General features: G+C 48.9%; 1 protein-coding gene across 8 annotated transcripts in view, besides 2 other annotated features; it reads left to right on the top strand.

The window, feature by feature from the left end:
• The window catches only part of PECAM1 (platelet and endothelial cell adhesion molecule 1), a 71,446-nt gene extending 55,893 nt beyond the window's left edge, over window positions 1–15,553 (top strand). For 5 of the 8 annotated variants that reach the window (XM_017024741.2, XM_017024739.2, XM_005276882.2 and 2 more), the window contains 2 exons: window positions 5,246–5,268; window positions 11,123–15,553. In XM_017024741.2, the coding sequence (XP_016880230.1) occupies window positions 5,246–5,268; window positions 11,123–11,152 (53 nt within the window). In that variant the 3' untranslated portion in view covers window positions 11,153–15,553. The remainder of the gene's footprint in view (window positions 1–5,245; window positions 5,269–11,122) is intronic. The other 3 variants (XM_047436251.1, XM_005276883.3, XM_005276880.2) reach the window with 1 other exon arrangement.
• Window positions 8,481–8,560: an enhancer, noted in NCBI's record as "active region_12589". NCBI's record gives its function as "activates an Ori minimal core promoter by ATAC-STARR-seq in GM12878 lymphoblastoid cells {active_cell/tissue: GM12878}" and the evidence as "EXISTENCE:reporter gene assay evidence [ECO:0000049][PMID:35858748]".
• Window positions 13,720–13,931: a silencer, noted in NCBI's record as "fragment chr17:62398397-62398608 (GRCh37/hg19 assembly coordinates)". NCBI's record gives its function as "represses an EF-1alpha promoter that drives an FKBP-Casp9 reporter gene in an ReSE screen in K562 erythroleukemia cells {active_cell/tissue: K562}" and the evidence as "EXISTENCE:reporter gene assay evidence [ECO:0000049][PMID:32094911]".

The raw sequence follows: 19,002 nt of genomic DNA, 5'->3' as shown, positions 1-19,002 counted from the left end.
CGCTAAGGCTCTGCTTCTTGTTGGAAGGAGTAGGGTCTTTCTCACCCTCCAGAAATCCTGGAGGGATCTTTCAGCATTGGTGGGCAGGTAAAACCCAGAAACACTGTGCTTATTAGAGGGAAGGTGGTATTGAGTGACCCCCAATAAAACAGGGGGCCCAGGGCCGTGCGCAGTGGCTCACGCCTGTAATCCCAGCAATTTGGGAGGCTAAGGCGGGCGGATCATGAGGTCAGGAGATCGAGACCATCCTGGCTAACACGGTGAAACCCCATCTCTACTAAAAATACAAAAAATTAGCTGGACGTGGTGGCGGGCGCCTGTAGTCCAGCTACATGGGAGGCTGAGGCAGGAGAATGGTGTGAACCCGGGAGGCAGAGCTTGCAGTGAGCCAAGATCGCACCAGTGCACTCCAGCCTGGGCGACAGAGTGAGACTCCATCTCAAAAAAAAAAATTGGGGCCCAGTGTGGGGTAGGTCTGTGAGATCAGTGAGCCAGCTGGGTGCAGAGCGGAGTCTTTGCTGACCTTTCCCCTTCATGTTCCCCGTCATCTTCTAGCATGCAGCATTTCAGGGCTGCCTATTTTGGGAAATGGCTTAAAGGGCACAGTTCTGGCCCTTAAACCCCCTTTCACCCCCTGAGTAATACAAAATAAGCCCTCCCCTAGATAAGCAATAGGGCATGGGGCAGGCCTGCCTCCAAGGAGCAGCCCCAGGGCCGAGGAGAGAGAGCTGGGCGCTGGCCCGGGGGACTTGAGTTTGATGGGAAAGCTTGCAGACAGTGGGGGAGCTGCCTGGTCTTTCCAGTCTTGGCTTTTGGCTCTAAGCACAGCTTTTTTTTTTTTTTTTTAATTGTTGTATCATGAGGCGCCTTCCACTCAGCTGCCTCCCCACGTTAGGGGATGGACACAGCACTGGCAGGGATCCTGTGTGTCTCAGTTTCCCTATTGACTCTCTGTGGCCTAGAGATGTATGGTAGAATTCCACACTATGCTTTTTTTCCACCTTTTTTTTTTTTTTTTTTTTTTGAGACAGGGTCTCTCTCTGTCACCCAGGCTGGAGTGCAGTGGCGCAATCTTGGCTCACTGCAACCTCCACCTCCCCAGGCAGGCCCCTCTGACTCAGCTGGGACTACAGGCATGCACCACCGCACCCAGCAAAATATTTTTATATTTTAGTAGAGATGGGGTTTCGTCACATTGGCCAGGCTGGTCTTGAACTCCAGAGCTCAAGCAATCCGCCCGCCTCAGCCTCCCAAAGTGCTGGGATTACAATGCCCAGCCCACTTTTTTTTTTACTTTTTACAATTTTATTCTTAAAATTGTGGTAAAACACATATCACATAAAATTTACCATTTTAACTCTAAGTATCCAGCTCAGTGGCACTAAGTACTACACTTTTGGTTGTCATAGCGTGGTGAACAGAGAAGAGAATGCTACTGCGTCTCGTGGAGAGAGGCCAGGGATACCGCTAAACATGCGACAATGCACAGGACAGCCCCCTCCCCACCACAAAACACCACCCAGCCCAAAATTTCAACAGGGCCACCATGGAGAAACCCTGGCCAGAGGAATTCACCTCCTGCAACTCCTCCAACAGGAGAGCTGGTTTTCCTCTCCAGTACCAGCTTTTGCCTGCCCTCTGTCTTGGGAGGTGACTTAAGGCACATCCCACCTGATTACTGTGGCTCTGGATGGGTGCTGAGTCTTGCTCTGGGCACCAGCCCTACCTGTTGAGCCAGAGGCCCACCTCCCCATCACGGAATCTACTCACTCAATGGTCCATCTTCTACTTTTTTGTTGCTATTTTTTGTTTTTTGAGACTAAGTCTTGCTCTGTCACTCAGGCTGGAGTGCAATAGCACGATCTTGGTTCACTGCAACAATCGCCTCCTGGGTCCAAGTGATTCTCATGCCTCAGGCTTCCAAGTAGCTGGGATTGGAGGCATGCACCACCACGCCCAGCTAATTTTTGTATTTTTAGTAGAGACGGAGTTTCACCATGTTGGCCAGGCTGGTCTCGAACTCCTGGCCACAAGTGATCCACCGGCCTTGGTCTCCCAAAGTTCTGGGATGACAGGCGTGAGCCACTGCGCCCAGTCCACCTTCTACTTTCTATTTGCCTGGAATTCAGACTTCCAGGGTGTTTCTTAGGGAGGCAGAAACCCTGGTCCTCACCGCATCCCCTGCCACCCAGTATACCAAGACTAGCTGGGCCGAGAGTAGCCGTGACAGGAAATGGCTGAGAAAGAACCAAAGAAAAGGAGGCCTCTGTGCCAAGTCTCCTATGGGAGGAAGAGAAGAGCACTTGAGGATCAGTCCCCACCCATCCTGTGAGGCCCAGAGCCAGTGAGGCCAGAGGGCACTGCCAACCCTGCCCCTGGGGAGGCATTTCCTACTTCAGCGTGCAAGATGGTGAAAAAGTATCCCCATGAAAAAATGGATGCTACCTCCAATTCAACTTTGGTGATGATTGCTCTGTTACCAAAAAAACAAGAACTGCAAGTGTGCATGGAGTAAGTGTTCCATCCGTATTTGAGTTTTTCACATTTTGTCTTCAGATTGCTTTAGAAAATGCCTACTTGAGGTTCTTTCGCTGTTGGGAAAGAGGTTCCAGAGCCCTTAGGGGACTAGGAGGGTCCAGGAATCACGGGGTCCTTTGGGTCCTTGCAGGTCAGATTTGCATTGGGGGTGCTGTCCTCAACCTCACTCAATGCATGGAAGTTGACACAATGGCTCAACATTAGCGTTGGGCTGATTCATCATTTGGCTGTTGACACCAGCCTCTGGCCCAGCCAGGACAGAAAAAGGGCCCCTGAGGAACTTCTGGCTCTGTTCCCTCTATGGGGGAGGGGCAGTGGACTTGTGATAAGACAGGGTGTTAGGGTGAGGTGGACTTGGGGAAACAGGATATTTCTAAATTAGAGAAACAGAAGGATTGTGACCCCCGCTGTGACAGACAGGCCCTGAGCCTGCCCGAGGTCCAGGAGGAACTGTATGTGAGCTTGGGGCTGGGTCTATACTGAGGCCCCTTGGCGTACTTTTCTCGATAAGACTGAGGACTTATGGCCCTCCCACCATTCCCTCCACCACCTTCGAGAACAGCAACCATCCCCAATGCCCACATCTCCTCTTGGGGTCTCCCCCAGGCAGCAGGTGAGGTCCCCATGACTTCTCTGTCTTCAAGTCAGGGTCCACAGTCAGCTGTTTGGGGATCTGCCCCAGCATGTGGGCCACTGACCATTGGGTGGGGTCCTGGTCCTTTCCAGAAGGGCAAGCCATACCCGTCACTTGCCTCTCATAGGAAACACCATCTCTAATGAATGCAGGCAGGGATCACCCACCACCTATGCAGAGCTTCCTGCTCTCATTGGCTTTTCTCAGCCTCACTGTCCTCTTGCTGACATCCGGTTGGGACCATTTGCGCAACTGCAGACTGGCAGGGCCAGGCAAACACAGCATGGCGCCTGCCAAGAAGGTGGTGTGAGACTGGGCACAGTGGCTCATGCCTGTAATCCCAGCACTTTGGGAGACTGAGATGAGTGGATCACCTGAGGTCAGGAGTTTGAGACCAGCCTGGCCAACATGGCGAAACCCCATCTCTACTAAAAATACAAAAATTACCCGGCTATTGTGGTGGGCATCTGTAATCCCAGCTACCTGGGAGGCTGAGGCAGGAGAATTGCTTGAACCCAGGAAATGGAGGTTGCAGTGAGCCACTGCACTCCAGCCTGGGTGACAGAGCTAGACCCCGTCTCAAAAAAAAAAAAAAAGAAGGTGGTGTGGGCTCCCACACAGTTGAGAGGAGACTCCTGAGGGGAAGGGGAAACAGTTGCCCAGATCTGCTAAGAGCGTTGGCAATGCTTCTGCCTCCTCCTCTGTTGAGCCTGCTCCTGGAAGGGATTGACAAAATAGTATGAAATCTAGAAATAGCTTTATTCCCAAAGAGGATACCGGTGGTGTTATTGAAAAGAGCAAAAACTTGGAAAGCACCTACATTTTTAAAGTAAGGAATTGGTGAAGTCAATAGTTGTACATCCATTTAACAATTATTTAGTAGCTAATTGGACAATTATGCTTAAGAAGTTTTCAGAAAAAGTTTATAAAGCCATGTTATATGAAAAAGTTAAGTTATAAAATGGCATATACTGTATAATTATAACTGCTCCCCACCCCCAAAAAAGCCAAATCGTAGTGGAAAATGACTAGGAAAAAAAAAAGTATCAACAGGGTTTGGAGAATGAGGCCAGATATCATTTTTATCTGCTACTTCCTACTTTCCATAGTTTTCATTTTTTTCTTAAAAAAATATGTGCTACTAATTTTTTTTTTTTTTTGAGATGGAGTCTTGCTGTGTCGCCCAGGCTGGAGTGCAGTGGTGCGATCTCAGCTCACTGCAACCTCTGCCTCCTAGGTTCAAGCGATTCTCCCGCCTCAGCCTCCCGAGTAACTGGGACTACAGGTGCCCACCACCACGCCTGGCTAATTTTGTATTTTTAGTAGAGATGGGATTTCACCATGTTGGCCAGGCTGGTCTCCTGGCCTCAGGTGATCCGCCTGCCTCAGCCTCTCCAACTGTTGGGATTACAGGCATGAGCCACCACACCCAGCCGTGATACTACATTTCTAAAAAACTGTTTAAAATGTTAAATGAGGCCAGATGTGGTGACTCACACTTGTAATCCCAGCACTTTGGGAGGCCAGGGTTGGCAGATCACCTGAGGCCAGGAGTTCGAGACCACCCTGGCCAACATGGCAAAACTCCATTTCTACAAAAAATACAAAAAAAATTAGCCAGGCATGGTGGTGTGCGCCTGTAGTCCCAGCAACTTGGGAGGCTGAGGCAGGAGAATTCCTTGAATCTGGGAGGCGGAGGGTGCAGTGAGCCGAGATAGTGCCAGCTGAGGCAGGAGAATTCCCTGGAGGTAGAGGTTACGGTGAGCCAAGATGGCGCCACCACACTCCAGCCTGAGTGACAAAGCGAGACTCTGTCTCAAAAAATAAAAAATAAAGAAAATTTTAAATGAAGTGCCAGGGACTTTATGCGCATGTCATGTGGAGCTAGAGGGTCCCGGGGAAGCTGTCTTGCACAAAGGAGCCATAAACCTCTAAGGGCACCTGCCGGCTGATGTCTCCTGGCTCTCGCCTCCTCCCTCTTTTCTCGACCTGCTCCTGACCCTGTGATGTTGTTGGGGCAGTTGAACTGGGTTATTTGCGTTGCTCACTGCCATGTCATCCTTTGTTTTGTAGATGCCGTGGAAAGCAGATACTCTGTAAGTACACATTTCATATACATTATATTTAAAAGTACTCCACTGAACAGTGAAATATTTCCAGACTCACCCACGTCCTGCATTCACATGAATTCTTCCCCGCTCCCTAGTCTGTTTCAGACCAGAAGCCCTGGGCTTCTCTGACTAGCCTTGGCCAGTTCTGATTTCGAATATTCTCTCCTGCAATTTCCATCATTACATCTCAGCCCACACGTGAAGGGATTGGGACTCTGGGGTGCTTAGCGCCAAACAAGCAAAGCACACATTTCGTTTAACGCCAAAGTCTAGGCTCTGGAAGTGAGGCAGATCTAGGGTGTATGCTTGGAGGAGTGGAGCAGCTGACAGCTCATTGCAATTTAGCCGATTCTAATTACCCCCTACACACCAGGCCATCAGCTGCAGGAGACACCCAAGCTTCTTGACCTCAGTTCACCTTCTGATGAGGGAATCAGACATGTGATCACTTATCATAAAGCAAAGTGAGCTATGCCAGAGCCTATGGGAACACAGAACAGAGACCTAGCTAGTGGCCTCTTCCCCAAGGAATCATTTGGAATGGGCCATGAAGAATGAATGGAGTGATGGCAGCATTGAGGGAGAAAGATCAGCAGGAGCACAAGGGTGAGGGATGACCAGTTTCAAGCAGTGTGGGATGGGAAAAGAAGAGTGTGACAGTGACAAGTGACGGGAGAAAGATAAGTCAGGGCTTAAATCCAAAGGATTTACATGCCTTGTTAAGAAGCTTCATTCTGTAGGAAATGGAGTTAGGAATCTGCTATTTGGCAGATGGGAGGGTTTATGAAAGACACAGAGGCCCACGTTCAACTTTTGCAAAGACGTGTCTTCCAATCCCAACCTTTTTGTGAGCTACCCAGCAATGCAGGAGTTAACTGGGCAGCTAATATCTGAAGAAATGAGGCATTTGCCGCATAAACTTCTTTTAGGTCTGGGAAGAACTTTCAGCAAGATTTCTGGTAGCTCTTCCAGTGGGCCCCTGGCTTCCTTTGTTTTGCCCATGTCTGGACTCTTGTAAAACAGAGCTCATTATGCCTTTGACAGACAGGAAGCCACTGACATTCTTTTTATGGAAGAAAGCTATGAATTTAAGGAAAAGAGGAATGAAATGAATGGTTGTTTTTTTTCCTAGCCAAAACCCACTCAGACTCCTGAAATCAGAGACTATCGTGTCACTGGGACAAGGAGCCCAATTTACAGATGAGGAAACTGAGGCCTGCACTGGTAGAATAGCGTGTCTGGGGTCACCTGGATGGCTAATAGAGTGAGGAACAGAGCCCAGGCCTCTATACTCTGCGGCCAGTCCTCTGTCACGACAGAGACTCCCTCCAAGATGTGAAGTTGCTGTCCCAGCAATAATGGCTTTGAGAGAGTGGAAAATGAGGTCTTTGCTCCCTGGGCAGTGCGGGACACAGATGTGTTCTCCTGAAGCGATAAACATGGCTGGGTCCACCCAAAACACCCTGTAGGACCAACTTATTTACTTTGTCTTGGATCCAAAGGGTGTCTCTGGACAAAGGCTTGGAGCTCCAGGCCAGACAGAACTTTACCCAGAAGCTGGCCCTTGGGCCTCAAAGTCTGCTCCCAGGATGGTTCTGAGAGCTCACCCATGACTGGTCCTGTCCCCCCAGAAAAAAGAATAGAGTCATTTGATGGGAGCACAGGGTTTCCAGCCGTTGGGAAAGGAATTTTGAACCTTTAAGCAAATGGGTTTTGTTTATAAAAGAAGCAGGTATAGCTTCCCTAATAATCAGCTGGTGTGGGTCAGGAGAAAATTAATTGAATTGCCCAGTGGGGAAATGGGAGGAGATTTCCTTCCTGAAATCAAACCTGGCGATCATTCCCAGTTGTTTAATGGCCGTTGCCTCTGAAAACATTGGAGGAAATATCTTAACAATGAGATAGCCACGTAGCCAAAGACTAATTTGGTATTGTTTGACTTGCTTCAATGGCACATTCTGACTTCATTTTTCCTCTGCCATTTTTACCTTGTTTATAAATTGTGTGTGTGGCCGACGCAGACAGATAGCATGGAAGAGAACACCCTGTACTTAAATGAAAGGGGTGAATCTGGACTTGTGAGAGTCTTGGGATCTTGGAAAGGACCCTGCCTTCTTACAGAAAGAAAGGCAATTGGCAGCTATAGCTCGCCTCCCCCCTTCCTGGAGGCCAGGAGGCAGCTGGGCTACAGTGGAAACTGTCCAGGTGCTAGGATCAGGGGATGGGAGGGGAGCTCCAGCTTTCCAGCTGTCTTTTGGGTGAGCCTGTCTTCCTCAAGCTCAAGCTTCCTTATCTATAAAGTGGAGATGGTGATGACAATGATGATAAGAGCAACCTATTAGGATTTTAAGGATGAAATGAGCAACTGCAACCACCATATAAAAGCTGCAAGCTGCAAACCACCATATAAAAGCTGGTTGATCTCAAGCTCTTTTCATCACTTGGGCAATAGTAGGTGTGGATGGGGGACTTAACTTGATTTGGCCATGAAATGACCCTGCCACATATGGAGAATGTAGCAGTTGCTTACCCAAGGCATAGGATTCAACCAAGGCCAGGCTTTGACTTAGGAATCAGAGACCCACATTAACACTTGACTTCCCACTTCTTAGCCATGTCACCATGGGCAAATTTCTTGGCCTCTCAAGACCTCTACTTCCTAATCTGTAAACTGGGAATCATAAACTCCCTCACTTGGTTGTTGCAAGGGTTGAATGAGCACCTGGCATAGACCTGGTCTATTGCAAGTGCCCACAGGAGCACTTTGTAGAAGCAGGAACTAGAGATCCCAGGGTGTGTTGAAATCAAAATGACCTTTGAGGGAGACCACACCATATTCCGGGTACAAGGCAGGGCGATTTCACAACTGCACTTGGGTGGCTGATGGCTGGCTTCTGATTTAAGCACAGCAAGCCCAGACCTTGGATGTGAGCGTGTTAACCTTTACTTCAAAATCCCTAAGGCCCTGTTGATTGTGGCCCAGCCCTTCCTGTCTGTGGCTTTGGTTCTGCAATGGTGCCCCAGGCATTGGCTGCCCCCACAGAGAGAGAGCGGAGGTGTCTGGGGAGGGACTTGGTCTGGGGCCCACAGAAAGGCTGGACACCAGAGTCATGTCTCCCCCATCCAGGCAGAGCAGAGGAAATAGGGCAGGGTGGCTGCCGGCGCTGGCAGGCCTCCAGCCTCTGGGGCCAGCACGGCTTGCTTGGCCCACTTGCATGGGGCTCTCCTGGCAGAGGAGGGGCCAGAGCCTTGGCTTTCTAGTTGGGGCACCTCGGCCCTGCATCCTGTTCCCCAAGGGTCCTTGGACCCAGCAGGGCTGAAACAAAATGGAGACACTATCCCAGCTCACCCTCAGGAAGCCAGCCAGGCTGGCTGTGGAGGTCCCAAGACCCTGGGTCATCCTCCATCTCCAGCTTCTGCCTTGCTGAGTTCCACCTGCAGCAGAGTGTCCTGTGCACATGGAGGGTCCAGAATAGTGGACTTAGGTGCTGCCTGCTCTTCAGGGCCCACTGTTGCCCAGGGCCCCCCTCTACTCTGGTATCTCCCAGCAGGCCCTGCTCTTTTTCCCTCCAAGGGCTCCTTCCATTTGTCAAAATCCAATCTTTAGGCTGACTCCAGAGTTGCTTCTGTGAATCCCCCACTGCCCAGCCCAGAGCCCTCTCAGTGCCTCTGAACCCCTTCTGCAGTTTGTTGAGACCTCTTATACCTTCTACTTCATAGTGGTGTTGTTTATCAATAATTGATACAATATAAAATTCTTGGGGACAGCTTCTTGCATCCCCAGCATAGAGAACAGTGTGGGTCAGATAAGGGTCCAGGCACTGATAGGTGGATAGGTGACACAAATACCATTTGAAGCTGTTAAAGAGCACTACAGGATGGCAGAAGGAATCCAGGAATCCTTTTGTGGGTGTTTTTTTGCTTTTTTTGTTTGTTTGTGTGTTTTTTGAGATGAAGTCTCACTCTATCACCCAGGCTGGAGTGCAGGGGTGCTATTTCAGCTCACTGCAACCTCCATCTCCCAGACTCAAGTGATCCTCCCACCTCAGCCTCCTGAGTAGCTGGGACTACAGGTGCACACCACCATGTATGCCTAATTCTTTGCATTTTTGATAGAGATGGGGCTTCGCCATGTTGCCCAGGCTGTTCTGGAACTCCTAAACTCAGGGGATCCACCCACCTTGGCCTCCCAAAGTGCTGGGATTACAGGGATGAGCTACCATGCCCAGCCAGGAATCCTTTTTTTTAATTGTCATAAAATATACATAATATTAAATTTACCATTTTCTTTTTTTTTGAGACGGAGTCTTGCTCTGTCGCCCAGGTTGGAGTGCAGTGGCGCAATCTTGGCTCACTGCAAGCTCCGCCTCCCGGGTTCACGCCATTCTCCTGCCTCAGCCTCCCGAGTGGCTGGGACTACAGGCACACGCCACCACGCCCGGCTAATTTTTGTATTTTTCAGTAGAGACAAGGTTTCACTATGTTGGCCAGGCTGGTCTTGAACTCCTGACCTCATGATCCACCCGCCTCGGCCTCCCAAAGTGTTGGGATTACAGGCGTGAGCCACTGCGCCCGCCCGGCAAATTCACCATTTTCCAGTGTATACTTAACCATTTTAAAGTGTATAATTCAGTTGCATTAGGTCCGTTCACATTGCTGTGCAACCACCACCACTATCCATCTCCAGAGCTTTTTCTTTTTAAGTGAAAGCAAGTTTATTAGAGAAGTAAAGAAACAAAAGAATGGCTACTCCATAGGCAGAGCAGCCACTGAAACACTGTACCCATTAAACACTAACTCCCCATTGCCCCTCCAGCAACCCCTAGCAACCACTGTCTACTTTCTGTCTCTATGAATTTGACTATTTGAGGTACATCACATAAGTGGAATCATATATTTGTCCTTTCATGTCTGCCTTATTTCATTTAGCATAACGTTTTCAAGGTTTTCCTGTGTTGAAAATATATCAGAATTTCATTCTCTTTTTAAGGTAGAATCATATCATTTTAAAACATTTCAGTTGGACCATCTAAGTTCAGTCCTTCATTTTCAAAATTAAAAAACAGGCCTCAAACGGGTACATCTCACGTTAGCTAGAGACAGAACTGGAGCTAGAAGTCAGATCTCTTACAAAGTTGCCTTTCTTCTTCTGTGGGTAAGTGGGGCACCCTTGGGACGCTGTGCTGGGCGTACATGGGTGCTTGATGAAGTTACTTGGTGGACTGATGTGATTGATGTCCAACATGTATGCAGGGACAGAGGCTATGGTCCCTACAGAGCAGGCATGGAGAGAAGGAGAAATACATACGGGCAGGAGCCAGGAGAGGGAGGGTGTAGTGAGCAGAGACCGCGCCACTGCACTCCAGCCTGAGTGACAGAGTGAGAATCCATCTAAAAAAAATTGCTTGCTAAAGAAGTGGTCTCCTGAGGTCTTAAGACGTTCCTGACAATGTCTTGAGTGGGTGGGAGAGAGGCTGCAGTCATTGTGCTGTGGAATTTCAGAGGTGAGAACCACACCTAACCAAAATTACTTTCCCTGTTTGCCTCAGTGACACAGCTGCAGGAACCCTGGTGGGTGTTGTATTAAGTAAATTTGACCTTTATTCTTTGCAGATCTGTGAAATGTTGTCTTCTGAGGGGCCACGTGTATCTGTAGTGCTGAGGACTCCTTGGGCCTCTGAAGTCACAGAGAGAACCCTGCAGGGTGGGGGACCAGTGTGTGACAGCCCTGCTTTGCATTTTCTTTGAGAAGTGCTGTCATTTTGCATTTCTCTCCACCAGGGCAATCTTCAATCTTGAGAGGTGTGATCATAACTTGCCTTGTTTCTTGTCGCTACAGAGAACGGAAGGCTCCCTTGATGGAACTTAGACAGCAAGGCCAGATGCACATCCCTGGAAGGACATCCATGTTCCGAGAAGAACAGATAATCCCTGTATTTCAAGACCTCTGTGCACTTATTTATGAACCTGCCCTGCTCCCACAGAACACAGCAATTCCTCAGGCTAAGCTGCCGGTTCTTAAATCCATCCTGCTAAGTTAATGTTGGGTAGAAAGAGATACAGAGGGGCTGTTGAATTTCCCACATACCCTCCTTCCACCAAGTTGGAACATCCTTGGAAATTGGAAGAGCACAAGAGGAGATCCAGGGCAAGGCCATTGGGATATTCTGAAACTTGAATATTTTGTTTTGTGCAGAGATAAAGACCTTTTCCATGCACCCTCATACACAGAAACCAATTTTCTTTTTTATACTCAATCATTTCTAGCGCATGGCCTGGTTAGAGGCTGGTTTTTTCTCTTTTCCTTTGGTCCTTCAAAGGCTTGTAGTTTTGGCTAGTCCTTGTTCTTTGGAAATACACAGTGCTGACCAGACAGCCTCCCCCTGTCCCCTCTATGACCTCGCCCTCCACAAATGGGAAAACCAGACTACTTGGGAGCACCGCCTGTGAAATACCAACCTGAAGACACCGTTCATTCAGGCAACGCACAAAACAGAAAATGAAGGTGGAACAAGCACAGATGTTCTTCAACTGTTTTTGTCTACACTCTTTCTCTTTTCCTCTACCATGCTGAAGGCTGAAAGACAGGAAGATGGTGCCATCAGCAAATATTATTCTTAATTGAAAACTTGAAATGTGTATGTTTCTTACTAATTTTTAAAAATGTATTCCTTGCCAGGGCAGGCAAGGTGGCTCACGCCTGTAATCCCAGCACTTCAGGAGGCTGAGGTGGGCGGATCACCTGAGGTCAGGAGTTTGAGACCAGCCTGATGAAACCCTGTCTCTACTAAAAATACAAGAATTAGCCGGGCGTGGTGGCGCATGCCTGTAGTATCAGCTACTCAAGAGGCTGAGGTGAGATTATCGCTTGAACCCAGGAAACGGAGGTTGTAGTGAGCGGAGATCGCGCCACTGCACTCCAGCCTGAGTGACAGAGTGAGAATCCATCTCAAAAAAAACAAAAAACAAAATTGCTTGCTAAAGAAGTGGTCTCCTGAGGTCTTAAGACATTCCTGACAGTGTCTTGAGTGGGTGGGAGAGAGGCTGCTGTCATTGCGCTGTGGAATTTCACAGATGAGAACCACGCCTAGCCAAAATCACTTTTCCTGTTTGCCTCAGTGACACAGCTGCAGGGACCCTCGTGGATGTTGTATTAAATAAATTTGACCTTTGCTCTTTGCAGATCTGTGAAATGTTGTCTTCTGAGGGGCCACATGCATCTATAGTGCTGAGGACTCCTTGGGCCTCTGAAGTCACAGAGAGAACCGAGCAGGTCTATGTTTTTGTTTTGTTGTTTTGAGACGGAGATTCGCTCTTGTTGCCCGGGCTGGACTGCAGCGGCGCAACCTCTGCTCACTGCAACCTCCGCCTCCTGGGTTCAAGCAGTTCTCCTGTCTCAGCCTCCCGAGTAGCTGGGATTACAGGCACATGTCACCACGCCTGGCTAATTTTTGTATTTTTAGTAGAGATGGGGTTTCACCACGTTGGCCAGGCTGATCTCGAATGCCTGACCTTTGGTGATCTGCCCGCCTTGTCCTCATGTGTGCTCCACAGGCCTTTGGGTTGGGATTGCAGGCGTGAGCCACCATGCCCAGCCTAGACTCTTTTGACAATATGATGAAAGCTGTTGGTTCCTTTCCCCAACACACACACACCGAGTTGTATCACGAAAATGTCATACAATTTCCAGGTTTTCTGAGTGGTGGGCTCAGATTGAGGTCAAAGGATCAGACGACCTCTAACGACCTTCATGTCTCTGTTGATGATCTGGGGACAGCCAGATCCCCTGTGTCCAGGGAGTTCCTTAGTCCCTTGCCACCACCAGAGAAGGGCAATTGCCACGGGAGCTGCAAAGACCCTATTCCTACTCCTGGTGCCTTACTTATGCAGCACGACTGAATTTTTTGTTTTGTTTTGTTTTGTTGAGACAGGGGCTTGCTCTGTTGCCCAGGCTGGAGTGCAGTGGCACAACAATGGCTCACCGCAGCCTCGAACCCCTGGGCTCAAGCGATCCTCCCATCTCAGCTTCCTGGGTAGCTGGGACCAGAGGCGTGAGCCGCCATAGCTGGCTAATTTTTAATTTTTTTTTTGCAGAGATGAGGTTTCACCATGGTGCCCAGGCTGGTCTCGAACTTCTGGGCTCAAGTGATCCTCCCTCCTTGGCCTCGCAAAGTGCTGGGATTGCAGGCATGAGCCACCGCCCCCGGCCTGTGGAGCACACATGAGTTTAAAATTACTTTCCCTTCTGCCTATATTTCCGAGGAGGAAACTTCATGCGCAGGGATCTTTCTTAGTGGATTTAATGGCTAAAAGGTCTGTCTGAATCCAGGACGCTGGCTTTAGCCTTCCTCGGCAGCTGCCGTAACCCCGGTGTCTAAACCTGAAGCATCCCAGGAGCACCCACTCCAGGAGTTTTCTCGGCCGCGGAACTCATTAGTTAGAGCGCCCTCTTGTGTTCTCATGTGGTAATCGGTCACTGAAGGACTTAAAATGGTCCTTAGCCAACACACAGTAAAACTTTTCCCTCTTCTGACCCCAAGAGGTCAGCCACCCATTTCATGAGCATATACTGGTCGCCCCATCAGCGTTCTCTGATTGGCTAACTGAACCCACTCCCCGACCTAGACTCAAGACAGGCGAAGTGACGCTTAGGTCAACATTCACTCACTAAAGCAACGACTGTCGGGCGATTTTGTCTCCCGCTGGTTTTGGAATGGTGTCTGGAGACATTTTTGGTTGTCACAGCTGGGTGGGTGTGCTCCCGGCATCTGGTGGGTAGAAACCAAGCATGCTCCTAAACATCCTACAGGCACAGAACCGTCTCCCACGACCAAGCATGATCAAGTCCCAAATGCCAATAATGGCCAGGTTGAGAAACTCTGCACAGAAGCATCCAGTTATTTGTCTGTTTGCTCAACAAGCTTGTGCTCATCATGCTCTGTGTTCCTGACGCTGTGCTGGGTGTTGGCGGTGGGAAGATTACAAGAGTCACATGGCAGCTGTCCTCCTGGAAGGTACAACCCAGTAGAGATGCAGACTAACAGAGAGCCAATTACAAAGCAGTGTGACAAGCGTCATGGTGGAAAATTAAAAGCTCAAACAAGGGCACATGGGAGGGGCTTCCAACACAGACTTTGGGGGATCCAGGAAGGTCTAAGAGGAAAGTGGGTCTCACCAAAGCCTTGACCATAGGCAGAGGGTACCAGTGGAAAAGGTGGGGTGAAGAACATTGAGGACAAAAGGAAGAAGTGCAGGAAGGCCCTGAGGCAAGGGAGTGGGGGGTGCCCTGGAGGGATGGCAGCAGGGCAGTCTGTCAGACCCAAGTGGCCTCCAGCCCTAGAAGCCAATTAGTCCTCCTCAAAAAGCTGTCACTGTCCCCTAAGAATTGCTGCCAGGCTCCCACTGGCCTGACTCAGTCTTTGAGAGTCTTAAGGAGGAGGTCTCTGAAAGGTACACACCAAGAACTCTCCCCAGCACAGCTGTTTTTAAGACTCTCCACCAGCGTCATTGGCGTGTTGGGAAGAAACCCTCTGCCACAGAGGCCAGCTTCAGCCTTTGCCTAACACCGCAAGGGCAAATGGAAAGGTAAACGGGAAGGAGATGTCTCCCCAGCAGGCTATTTGAGGACAGTCTTCCCTGCAGAAGATCTCAACCTGGGGTCCACAGAGTGGAAATGTTAGAGTAGGGAGCTAGGCAAACATGAGCAGGACAGGTGAGGGCCCCCACAGGAATGTCAGGCTACCATCAGGTGATGGTCAGGTGGTTGTTAAACTGTCTCTGTAAAATAATAATTGGTTGCAGCCAGCTCCAAGCAAGGACAGTCTCTCAATAGATACAAAACACCCTGATCTGGTGATCAGCCGCTTCCCGATAAGATCTCAGGAGCTGGGCAAGCAGCCTGGAGCATGCGCACCAAGAGGCAAAATGGCGGAATTTAACCAGTATATGACCTACCTTCCTCTGGGAACGCACGACTGGTAAGGGGAAAAATGCCTCAAGTGAGCATGCGCGCAACTTCAGTAATCACACTGTGCATGCGACCCCTTCCAAGTGCTGGCAGGTCACCACATACGCGGACAGCCTGCTGCAAGGGAAGAATCAGGGGAGATGAGACGTAAATCCCAGAACTATGCCAAATACATAAAACCCCAAGTTAAGGGTCAGGCAGGGCACTTAGATCTCTCAAGTTGCCTGCCTGACCCAAGTGTAGTGTACTTCCTTTTGTTCCTGCTCTAAAACTTTTTAATAAACTCTCACTCCTGCTCTAAAACTTGCCTTGGTCTCTCCCTGTGCCTTAAAACCACTTAAAACCACCTCTGCCCCTCAGCTGAGTTCTGTCTTTGAGAAGGCAAGCATCAAGTTTGCTGCAGACCCATTGGATTCACCACTGGTAACAGAAGTTGGGGTAAGGCGTGGGGCCTGAGAATTCTCTAAGAGTAGGTGCAGCCGGGCGCGGTGGCTCACGCCTGTAACCCCAGCACTTTGAGAGGCTGAGGTGGGTGGATCAGCTGAGGTCAGGAGTTCGAGACCAGCCTCAATATGGGGAAACCCCATCTCTACTAAAAATACAAAATCAGCCGGGCGTAGTGGTGCATGCCTGTAATCTCAGCTACTCGGGAGGCTGAGGCAGGAGAATTGCTTGAACCTGGGAGGCAGAGGTTGTGGTGAGCCAAGATCGAGCCATTGCACTCCAGCCTGGGCAACAAGAGCGAAACTCTGTCTCAAAAAAAAAAAAGAGTAGGTGCAAAAGGTTATGAGGGTGTGCAGTTTTCTATGGGAGAGAATCCATAGCTTTTATCCATGTCTTTGTTTGTTTTGAGATAAAGAGTCTTGCTCTGTCACGCAGGCTGGAGTGCACTGGTGTGAACATGGCTCACTGCAGCCTTGACCTCCCGGGCTCAAGCAATCCTCCTGTCTCAGCTTCCCAAAGCTGGGACCACAGGTGCCCACGACCACACCCAGCTAATTTTTAATTTTTTTGTAGAGATGAGGGTGTTACTATGTTGCCCAGGCTGGTCACAAACTCCTGGGCTCAAGTGATAGAACTCCTGCCTCAGCCTCCCAAATTCTGGTATTATAGGTGTGAGCCACTACGCCTGGCCTTTTATCAGTTTCTTGAAGGGAGATAGGGTCCAAAAAAGGGTTAGGAACTTCTAAATAATTAAAAACTCACATATGCTTCATATTATTTGATGTCAGTTAAAACCCCAAAATAGTGATCAATACATTTCTTACCAAAGGATCTACTTTAAAGACAGTTTTACATTCAATATCCCCAGCAAGACTCGGCTTACCTTCAGAAAATTGCTCAGAATAAGGAAACAAATGGTGATTTCAACATTTGAAGGGGGTAGCCCTCATCTCTCAAAAGTAATAAGCTATTAGAATGTTTTGGAATACCAGACCAGGTGCAGTGACTCATGCCTGTAATCCCAGCACTTAGGGAGGCAGAGGCAGAAGGATTGCTTGAGCCCAGGAGTTTAAGTCCTGCCTGGGCAATATAGCAAGACCCCATTCTCCACAAAAAAGAAAAAAAAAAAGACAAAAAAGAGAATATTTTGGAATATCAAAGAACCAGCAGTAAATCTATTGAAAAACTTCAGAGTCCAAAGTATTTCTAAAGCCCAAATTGTCCCTTCATATATATTTCATAATTCAATAGGAAAAGAATTCTTTCTTCAGAATGAACTTTGGCAATAGAAAAGAAACCTTATTTCCACATTCAGAAAGGATGACAATGCTGGAAAGCAAATTAACTTTTTTTAACTTTTTTGCTTGTTTAGTTTTTGAGTCTCGCTCTTGTTGCCCAGGTTGGAGTGCAGTGGCACCATCTTGGCTCACTGCAACCTCCGCCTCCCAGGTTCAAGCAATTCTCCTGCCTCAGCCTCCCAAGTAGCTAGGATTACAGGCATGTGCCACCACACCCGGCTAATTTTGTATTTTTTTAGTGGAGATGGGGTTTCACCATATTGGTCAGGCTGGTCAAACTCCTAACCTCAAGTGATCCACCCACCCTGGCCTCCCAAAGTGCTGGGATTACAGGCATGAGCCACCACGCCTGGCCGCAAATACAATTCTTAAAGAAAAATAAAAGCTAAATTGGAATAGGGGATTGGCCACCAGTCGATTACATGACCTTGGATGTGTCACACATCCTAGGGCTCCTCTCCTGCAAAGGAAAATGTATTCATCATTTCCCAGGGATGCCATAATAAATTACCACAAACCAGCTGGCTAAAAACAGCAGAAATCTATTCTTGCACAGTTCTGGACACCTGAAGTCCAAAATCAAGGTGTCAGCAATGCCATGCTCCTCCAAAGGCTCTAGGAAAGACCCCTTCTCTGCCTCTCCTGGCCTCTGATGGTTCCTGGCAATTCTTGAGATTTTCTGGGTTGCAGCTGCACTGCTCCAGTCACTGCCTCTGTCATCACAGGGCATTCTTTCACATGCGTGTCTGTGCCTTCACATGGCCTTCTGAGAAGGACACTAGAGCTGGGTGTGGTGGCTCATGCCTGTAATCCTAGCACTTTGGGAGGCTGAGGCGAGTGGATCACCTGCGGTCAGGAGTTCAAGACCAGTCTGGCCAACATGGTGAAATCCCATCTCTACTAAAAATACAAAAAATTAGCCAGGCCTGGTGGCACACACCTGTAATCCCAGCTACTCAGGAGGCTGAGGCAGGAGAATGGCGTGAATCCGGGAGGCGGAGGTTGCAGTGAGCCAAGATTGCACCACTGCACTCCAGCCTCGGGGATAGAGCGAGACTCTGTCTCCAAAAAAAAAAAGGACACTAGTTATCGGATTTAGCGCCCACCCGAATCCAATACAACCCCATCTTCACTAACATTATCTACAAAGACCCTGTCTCCAAATAAACTCACATTCTGAAGTTCCAAGCAGATATGATTTTGGGGTGACACTATTCAACCCAGTACAGAAAAGACTGGACTAGACGAGCTCAGGTCCTTGTAGCTCTGACTTCCCAGGTTTCTAAGATGCTCATGTAAATCGGAAGGCAGAAAGATGGTGATTTTCCTTCAGATAACATCATCTTCTCAGCATCATCTTTTGAGCCTTCTCAGGCCAGTGTTCTCTCACTGTGCTCTGTTCTCTTGTGCTTTGTGTCTCGGCATCTCTGAAATATTATTGTTTTCTTTTCTATTTTATTTATTTATTATATGGAAATGAGGTCTCACTATGTTACCCAGGCTGGTATCAAGCTCCTGAGCTCAAGCAATCCTACTGCCTCGGCCTCCCAACGTGCTGGGATTACAGGCATGAGCCACCATGCCCGGCCTTTTTTAAAATTTTTTTTGAGACAGAGTCTTGCTCTGTCTCCCAGGCTGGAGGGCAGTGGCGCAATCTCGGCTCACTGCAACCTCTGCCTCCCAGGTTCAAGTGATTCTCGTGCCTCAGCCTCCCGAGTAGCTGGGATTACAGGCGTGTGCCACCACGCGCAGCTAATTTTTGTGTTTTTAGTAGAGATGGGGTTTCACCATATTGGCCAGGCTGGTCTCGAACTCCTGACCTCAGGTGATCCTCTCGCCTCAGCCTCACAAAGTGCTGGGACTACAGGTGTGAGCCACCGCGCCCGGCCTGTTGTTTTCTTTCTCTGGCCTTCTTCAGAGTTCTCCCTCACTCTCCTCTCTCATTCTTTCTCTGCTTCCTCCTTTCCCTTCCTTTTTCTCCTCTAGTTCAGTTTTTCTCTTTGTCTCCCT

Source organism: Homo sapiens, chromosome 17 (genome assembly GCF_000001405.40).
Source record: "Homo sapiens chromosome 17, GRCh38.p14 Primary Assembly".
Taxonomy (NCBI): Eukaryota; Metazoa; Chordata; class Mammalia; order Primates; family Hominidae; genus Homo; species Homo sapiens.
The sequence above is the reverse complement of the archived record's forward strand: the minus strand, read 5'-3'. Positions and strand labels throughout refer to the sequence as shown.